A 10,186-nucleotide genomic window follows, 5' to 3' on the forward strand; every position below is an offset into this window, starting at 1 on the left:
GATTTATAATAGTAAATTGATGATGCTGATGATACTTATTAATATACTTTCAGCCAATTATAATAATCCACATAGAAAATGTACATCCATTTATTTATTACATCCTCGTTAAACGTATTGGATTTAGTTTTAATTGTATGTGTCTGAACATGTTTGTACATAATGTGAACAGATTTATTTTAAAATTTATTGAAAAAAGTTTATGGAATTATTATGTAATATTCTACAACTTACTTTTGGTGATTATATGTGTCATTAAAGGTTAACCCTGATTATTCATGACATAAATAAGTCAAGACCATAGAGTTAGTCAAGAAGTTTTACAGTTATTTGCATGTAAAAAGCTAAGCTTCTGAAAAAAAGTCTATTACTTCAAGGTGTCTGGATTATATTTATGAATTTAATTCCAAAATATATTTTAGGCTTTTATTATATTCAATATGTAGTAAGAATAATTGAAGAGTGGAAAAAATTAATCAAACTGTATCTTTATTCTCAAAAAAATTCAACATCAATCAGAACAGTCAGGCTTCTGTAAACCTATGAAACTGGTAATTAATCATGATGTTCCTAGAAGTGAAATACACAGAAAGGCGTCTTAGTCTGTTTTTGCTCCTATAAAAATACCATAGACTGGCTAATGTATAAAGAGCATAAATTTATTTCTCTGAGTCCTGAAGGTAGGGAAGTCCAAGATTAAGACCCTACCAGTTTCAGTATGTAGTGAAGACTCATTTCTTATAGAGGGCAATATATAGGTGCCCTCATATGGCAGAAAAGACAGAAAGGGCAGAAGTGAATGAATGCTGTATTCGCATATGACAGAAGAGCAGCAGTGCAAAACATGGCCTCAGCTAGTACCCACCAGCCCTTTTATAAGCACTAATACATTCATGAGGATGAAACCCTCATAATTTTATCACTTCCCTCAAAGCCACACCTCAATATGTCACCACCATGAGGATTAAGTTTCAATATAAATTTTGGAAGAGACACACTTTCAAACCATAGTGGAAGCCTACTAACTTTTTTCTTGATATGTATAAGCAGAAATTTGTAGGTCAAGTGAATAAAAATGTAACCTGGATTATAAAAACAGAGCCACAGCCCCTCAGTCAATTCCTAGGTTTGCGCCAGTTTGCAGACCAAGAAACCCTTTAATAAAGAGGAAGCCAGATACTTCTGAGAAAAGACCCAAGTATGCTACCATAAATTTATGCTGTTATTCTTTGCCACGATAATGGTACATTGGGGAAACACATAATAATCAGGCTTAAATTGATACTAATTTTAACAGTCTGTATACATCATTGTGTCCTACCAGTCAGAGTAGAGGCACATGAAGGTCAGGTGTTCCATGGAGTTTTAGCTCAGGTTTAACTTACAGTGGACCTAGTAGGTCCCCAAATCTACCCTGTGATTAGTTCTCCTATTCTAGCACTTTGGGAGGCCGCGGCAGGTGGATTGCTTGAGCCCAGGAGTTTAAGACCAGCCTGGGCAACATGGTGAAACCCTGTCTCTGCAATAACATACAAAAAAGTTAGCCAGGCATGGTGGCGTGCGCCTGTAGTCTGAGCTACTCTGGAAGCTGAGGCAGGAGGATCACTTGAGCCTAGGAGGCGGAGGTTGCAGTGAGCCAAAATTGTGCCACTGTACTCCAGCCTGGGTGACACAGTGAGACCTTGTCTCAAAAAAATAAAAATATAAATATGAAAAGAAATGCTGTTTAAAATGGCCTTTTTTAGACCGTCATAGGTGAATTGCAGCACAGGTCTTTAGGATTTTGGAGCAAGGCTCTGCCATCCTCCACAGGTAATCACTCTCCTTTTGGAAAACAGATCTTGGTCTACTACTAGGCCTTAGCAGAGACTGAACCCTAAACCATGAGCCACAAAGTTAGCATGTAATATTAGCTGCCCATCATGGACTTGGTGTTATCTGACTCACTAAGCAATGAAGTTGAACAGGCATAGCACACTCCATCATGAAATGGAATTGGTATATACATGATCAGGCTGGAGCAGATTCTGAAGGCACAAATAAATTGCATAAACAAGTAGTCCAAATGCCTGTGGTCCCAACTTCACTACTCTGCATTTTCTCTTTCAGCCTGCACCTGTGGTCTTATGGGGCAGTTTCTATGGTGAGTTGACAGAAGAAGAGAAGACTTGGACCTGGATTACAGATGGTCGTGCATTATATGCAGTCACCACCAAGTGAACCGCTGCAGTGCAACAGCCCCTCTCTGGTACATGCCTAGAGGACAAGAGAGAAGGCACATCCTCCCATTGGACAGAACTTTGAGCAGCACACCTAATTTTTCACTTTACTTGGAAGAAAAAATGGCCAGATGTGTGATTATGTACCAATTCATGGGCTGTAGCCAATGGTTTGGCTGGGTGGTTAGGGACAAGACAGAAACATGATTGGAAATTATTGACAAAGAAACTTAAGGAAATGAAGTGCTACTCCACAATAGAGGTAAGAACAGTTTTCCCAGAATATACGAGATTCTTTAAAGTGTCTCATAGTATTCTCATGCCCTGTGATTAAGGTCAATGGAAAACTACAACAACCCAATCCAGGAAGAACTACTCCTGACCCAGAGCCTTCAGTTATAAAGATTTGTCTTAGTCCACTAGTTAAATAACCACAATCAGCTGAGGTACTTTCTGAAAGTAAAAGGAATACACTATGGGTAATGGAAGAAGGTCCCTATAAACCCTAGCTGCAACCACACAACCAGTTACAGAAATAAGAACTGTTTAAGTGTCATGGTATTCCTCCTTATTTTGTTATGAGTGTATATGTTTAAAGTATAATATATATAGTATATATACTTATAAATTATATATATGTAGGCATATCTTGGTTTTCTTTCCTCTCATATTCCCTTATCATGTAAAGTAAGTTGTGTTGAATTTTTATCATAGCAGTGAAGTATCATTAATCTCATATTATAACCTGGGAGTTGCTAAAAAATTAAACATCACTCAAGAGTTTATCTCCAATTCAGGGAAGTGGCTAGTGCATTCTAATTCGTAGGCAAGATAGTTGCATCATATTATATGGAATTATGACCTTGTTATTGCCTTTAGAATTTAAATGTGGTTTAAGAGGGTGCTTATTGGTGCCAAGTTGACAAGGTGCAGCCCTGTGATGGTTAATTTTATATGCCAACTTGGGTGGGCCACAGGGTGCTGATATTAATCACAGCTTCTGGGATGTGTCTATGAGGGTGTTTCTGGAGGATATTAGCATTTGAAGGGTGACTCAGTAAAGCAGATTGCTTTTCCCAGTATGGTTGGGCCTCATCTAATTGAACATGAATAAGCAAATAAAATGGAAAGAGAAGAAATCTGTCCCTTTTTTTATGCCTCACAGCTTGAGCTGGATGTCTCATCTCATCTTCTCCTGCCCTTGGACTGGTTGTTACAACATCAGCTCCCCTGGTTCTCAGGTCTTTGAACTCACTGAGTAATACCACCGCCTTTCCAGGATTCCTGCTTGCAGATAGCAGATTGTGGGAATTCTCAGCCTCCACAATCATCACATAATCCAATTCACCATAGTAAATGTCTTTTTATATATGTGTATGTGTATGTCTGCCTACACATATGCACATATTTAGGCATGTGTCATCTATCAGTGAATATATGGTCTGAGAAATTTATTGTTAGGTGACTTTGTCATTGAGTCAACTTCATAGTGTCCTACTTACACAAACATAAATGGTATAGCCTACTACACAGCTAGGCTATATGGTATAGCCTATTACTCCTAGGCTACAAACCTGTAGCAAGTTACTCTACTGGATATGGTAGGCAATTGTAACAGAATCATAAGTATTTGGGTGAGTAAACATATTGAAGCATGAAGATACAGCAAAAATAGAGTATTATCATCTTATGAGACCACTCTCATATATGCGGTTCATTGGTGACCAAAGTGCCATTATATGGTGCATAACTGTATGTGTAGATATGTGCATACACACACGTGTCCTATAGATACTGTTTGAAGAACCTTCACTAGTATATAGAGTCCTAATAATAAGGAAAAGGAGAAGAGTGAGAAGCACATGCAAGAACAAAGCTTTATGCCCATCTATTCCCCTTCCAAACAGCACCTCATCCTACCATTTGTAGGCACTGTTGTCTATAAATGTGTGTCATTTATCTGGACTGACTTTTTACAAGTATTTTATGAGCATGAACAAGCCACTGAACACTCCCAAGTGCAAGTAAGTAAAATAATGTCTTTTCTGTTTACTTGCCTGGAAAGCTGAAAGGGCCACATAAAATAATATTTGAGGGCTTTTAGGATTATAATGTGATTGATTTCTAAGCTCTGTTCTAGTTGAAATCCCCTCTGCCAAGCCCCATATTACTCTTAGCAATCACACTTTGATACTTCAAGAAAACAAAGGTATTATTAGACACACATATTTTTTAAAAAGATAAAAATGACATATGAAACTAGTGAATGATTTTATTGACATCTCTAGTCCTGTTACTTTTCCCTCTAATATGACACAGTTATTAACAGATTCTGTAGAATGCTTCTTTATTCCTTATTATTTTAAATAGACACCTCACATCCACAAACATATGCACACACAGACAACATAGAAGAGTGATTAAGAACACAGACTCCAGAACCAGGCCATTTGTGTTCAAATATTTATTCTGCCACTTAATGTGTGATGACTTAGGCTCAATTATTTATCCTCTGTGTCTCAGTATTTTTTTCCATAAAATAGGGAAAGTAAAATTGTCTAAAATACAGAGTTTTGAGAATTCAATGAGTTAATGTATATAAAGTATCAGAATAGTGCTCAACATACGGTAAATATTAGCTAATAATTTCATAATTATTGTATAAAATGTGTAATTTTTACATGTAAAAATTACATAAATCGTATTATATATATTGATGTCTGTCTCTTAGTATGTTGTTAACGAAAATTTATTCCCCTCAATATAGAGTGCTAATTATTTACATTTAACTGCAACATTATATTCTATCTTGTGACTTTAACACTAAAAAATGTACAAATGGTTTTCAGTGTATTTTACCAAAAATTTGCATAATACGCTTTGTTTTGATATATGAAATATTTCTAACATAAAATGAACTGGAATTGTTGGCTCAAAGGTTAAAAATGAAATTTCTTTTTCTAAGTAAAAATAACTTATTTTTAAATTAACTACATTATTTTCCTTTCTAAATGTTTGGAAGAATATTTTTAATTGCATATTTGTCATTACTTGATATTATACCTTAGAGTTATTTAAGCTTATTATTAAAATATGTCTTGTTTTGATCTACTTTTCAAAACTACTAGTGAGGTTGGGCAAATTTTCATAAGTTTCTGAATTGCCTGTCCATATTAGCTACCAAAATTTAATGAGTTGTCTGTTACTTGTAGTGATTAGAATTTTTTATTATATTATACATATTAATATTTTGTTGGATATATTTTTGTGAGAATCTTCTCTAGTTATTAAAATTAATTTGGCTGTATTAAAACTACACAAATAAAAAATTTGTTCAATAAATACACAAATTTCCCACATCTATTATATAATATAGAACATTTTGGCTGGGCACAGTGGCTCACACCTGTAATCCCAGTACTTTGGGAGAACCAGGTGGGAAGATCACTTAAGCCCAGGAATTCAAGACCAGTCTGAACAACATGGTGAAACCCCATCTCTAAAAAAATAAAAAAAATTAGCCGGGCATGGCTATGCACACCTGTAGTCCCAACTACTTCAGGGGATGAGGAAGGAGGATTGCTTGAGGCCTGGAAGGTGGAGGCTGCAGTGAGCTGAGATCACGCTACTTCACTCCAACCTTGGAGACAGAGGGAGACATCACACCCCTCTTCAACAAAAAAAGACTTAGACATTCAAAGGGTTCAGGGCTGCTCCATCCAGACTAAACTGTCAGAGTGTTGTCAGTAAGTATTTGCCAATTATTTCCTTCAAAGCTACCAAGAGAAAATTATACAAGTCAGTGATTCTCAAATTTTAATAATAAACAGAATCTTTGGAGGGTTAAAAAAAAAAAAACCTCCCTGAAATTCCCTTGAGCCCAGGACTTCAAGGCTGCAGTGAGCTGCGATCATGCCACTGCACTCCAGCCTAGAGGACAGCTCAAGACCCTATCACTAAAAAAAAATAAAAATAAAAATAAAATAAAATAGAACATCTAGGCCAGGCTCGGTGGCTCATGGCTGTAATCCCAGCACTTTGCCGGGCTGAGGCAGGCAGATCGACTGAGGTCAGGAGTTGGAGACCAGCCTGGCCAACATGGCAAAACCCCGTCTCTACTAAAAATACAAAAATTAGCCAGGTGTGGTGGCACATGCCTGTAGTCCCAGCTACTAGGGAGAAGAGTAGCTTGAACCCAGGAGGCAGAGGTTGCCGTGGGCTGAGATAGCTCCATTGCACTCCAGCCTGGGCAATGAGAGTGAAACTCCATCTCAAAAAAAAATAAATAAAATAGAACATCTCAACACACTTCAAGCCTCTCTTATACGTCTTTTGAATATCTTTAACATTTTATATTAGTATATCTAAAATGTGTCATCTTGCTTGCATTTATTTAAAATTATAAAAATCATAAAAAATGCATTTATTTTTCTGGATACTACCTTTTTATTCAACTGTATACATTTAAGGTTCATCAATATTAATATTTATAACTGCATATAACTATATCAATGTGGTTTTACTGCTATATATGTTATTTGAGCTTACCAAATTTACTTATATATTTGAAACTGTTGAACCATCTATTCATACCTTTCTAGATGTTCTTTTCTCATCTTTTTTGTATTATTTCAATTTATTTTCTCATGTGCTTACTTTTAAATGTTTTACTTTGTACTGATAAAATTTTATTTACCAAAATTTTTATTATGCATATTTGAATCACTATTTTTATTTACTTTCCACTCTAAGCCTGAAAAATCCAATTCAAATCACCTTAAATTTAATTATTTCACTATGTATTTTTTATAGTTATTATTTTTATTTTACTTTAAGTTCTGGGATACATGTGCAGAATGTGCAGGCTTGTTACATTGTATACATGTGCCACCGTGGTTTGCTGCACCCATCAATATGTCATATATCCACTATGTATCTTTAATATTCTTACTATTGAAGATATTAGTTCTTACAATATCATATTTCTAAATATATTTTGGTAAATGTTTGCTAATACCTATATTAGGATTTATATACTAAATTCATGAAAAAATTAATTTACATATATTTATCTCATAATTTCCATGTCAGCTTTTGGAATTCAGATCAGAAATAGCCCATATAAAACTTCCCTCTTTCCTACTCTTGAGAAGAGTTTATTAAAATTTAGTGTAGTTTCCTTACTTAATATCTGGAGGGAAATAATCACTGTTGATGTCATCTGTGTCTGAAAATTACTCCGTAAAAGGAATTGGAGATTTCTTGAGAGATAAAATTTTATGTTTTCTTTCTCTGTTTGTGAATTTCAAAAATGTTATGTATATTGTTATTTAAATTCAATATTATTTAAATTGTCAATCTTTTTAGACTTGATAATCAATTTTATTTTTACTATCAATATTTTATTTGGTCATATCCTCTATTTTCCACTTTTACTTCTTTTATGCCTTGTTTTGCACTAATCTTTTTTTTTTAATTACATGTTCCCCTTCTATTCACTTGTTAGTTACTTTCTCCTTTAATTCATACTATTCTTCTGATGGAGCATCCTTGATTTATCATGATCTAACACCAATGATTACTTTCATCAATTTTCTGATATTTCTAAAATATTAGAACATTGGAACATATAAACTCTATTTTCCTCTCTGTCATTTTAATTTTACTTATTTTAGTTCTACATATATTTTAAACTCTATAAAACATCATTTTGTATAGTCAAACAATTTTTACATTTATCTGAATGCTTACCACTCCCAATATTCTTCATTTTTTATTCTATTTTTGTCTTACAGGTCTTAGTTACTTCTGCCTGGTTTCCCTATAGGTTTTTCTCCTTACTAATAATGAATTCCCGTGGTTTTGTTTATTTGAAACCTTTTTATTCCAACTCAAATTTGAAAGGTATAGAATTGTACATTAGCAATTATTTCCTTCTTGCATATTGCAAATGCCATTCCATTATGTCCTGAATTTCATCATTTCTTTAGAAAAGTCAGCTTTCATGCTCAGTGTTTTTACTTTTTAGACTTTTGTTTCCCAGTTCTACAAATATCTGGCTGTTCTGAAGATTTTCTTCCATTTTGTCATTGCTTGTCTGCAGGTTTACTACAGTGTTCCCATGTGGGTTCTTCCTTGTGTTTAACCTATGGGACTTTATGAAGCTTCCTAAACATGTAGATTGATATCTTCTATTACTTACAGATAATTCTCATACTTTACCTCTTTATATATTGTTTCTTCATTCTTACTCACATTTTCTTCCTCTCTTTGTTTCTTACCATATGTATGCTAGTCCTTCTGAGCATGTATATCTCTTTATTCTTATTTTTCAATTAATTTAACTATGTGATGCCTTGAAAAGTTTATGTTATAGCCAGTGTCTAATTTCCTGATAAGCCTTCATGTTATTCATTTCATTAGCTGTAATTTTGAATTCTATAATTTTAAGTGCTTTTAAGTTTTAAATATTGAAATTTTTCATCCCTTCTGGTTTTTAATTTTTCAATTGTCTTTAATATATTAATTGCAGTTATTTTAATGTCTCGACCTGCCCTATCTTCTACTTTGATCATCTTCAGGTATGTCATAGTCGTCTCTTCATTTTTTGATTAGCAGTTCATATTTCCTTGCCTCTTTGGCACTTATGGTGCATATGAGCGCATGCACACGTGTGTGTTGCAAAACAGTTGTTTTTATATTTATATTTGTTATTGCCAAATTTATTAATCTTTCTGTTTTTTCCTTATTTAAGAAAGATTTTCTTTTTTTTTTTCTTTTTGAGACAGAGTCTCGCTGTGTCACCCAGGCTGGAGTGCAGTTGTGCAATCTCGGCTCACTGCAACCTCTTCCAGGTTCAAGCAATTCTCCTGTCTCAGCCTCCCGAGTGGCTGGGACTATAGGCACCCACCACCACACCCGGCTAATTTTTGTGCTTTTAGTAGAAATGGGTTTTCACCGTGTTGGTCAGGCTGGTCTCAAACTCCTGACCTCAGGTGATCCACCCACCTCAGCCTCCCAAAGTGCTAAGATTACAGGCGTGAGCCACTGCGCCCAGCCAAAAAGTCTTTTTTTAGTACAATATCACAGAAATAGTTCCTTTCTGTTCCCTGATAGTTTTAAACTTTATGTTTTCACAATTAGACCATTGATTCACCTAGACTTCTGTTTTGTGTAGGGTATAATTCTGTGATCTCATATTAATGTTTTTATTACATTTAAAATACAAACTGTCCTAATACTATTTATTGGCCAATTCAATTTTTTTCATTTATTTTAGTGGAATTTTATATTATACAGAGATATGTGGTTTATTTTCTTAGCTCTCTCTATTCCAAATTTTGTTATTTAAATGCATTCATACATTTGGATTTCTTTATGAACTGTAAAATCACTTTAGAAGTCTGTTTTTCAGAAGATGTTCTCTTTATGTACTTCTCAATACAGAGATTATGTAATTACTTCTGCAGTACCTTGCCAGGTACTGAGCTTGAATCTGGTCCTACTTTGGAATCCTGGCTCTGGACCCTTGGACTATATATTTAGCCCAATTTTAATCCCTGAACACAAATGTGACATAAACTGTGATGTGATTGATTCTGTCTTTGATTGCGACAAGGAGAGGGCTAAACCCACAAAGCTGTTTAGAATTATGAGAATGCTTTTCCAAAAAAGTGGGATTGTTCTCACAACCATCCTCAAAATATGGTCACTTGACATCAAAAATAGATTGACAGACCATATCTGGTCCTTGGTCACAATGCCAGTATCACTATATCCTTCCTTTTTTGTCATTAATAGAGAATTTGCATTATTATGAGTGTTGCTCCATATTAGTGTAATGATGTACATGCTCTATGTGTGATTAATGAACATACTCATACAGAAACATAAAATGGCTGCTCATGTACCTGATCTTCCTTTTGACCAAGATTTCTCTAAATGTGTTTTCACTGTAACAGTGAAAT

Source organism: Homo sapiens, chromosome 4 (assembly GCF_000001405.40).
Source record: "Homo sapiens chromosome 4, GRCh38.p14 Primary Assembly".
Taxonomy (NCBI): Eukaryota; Metazoa; Chordata; class Mammalia; order Primates; family Hominidae; genus Homo; species Homo sapiens.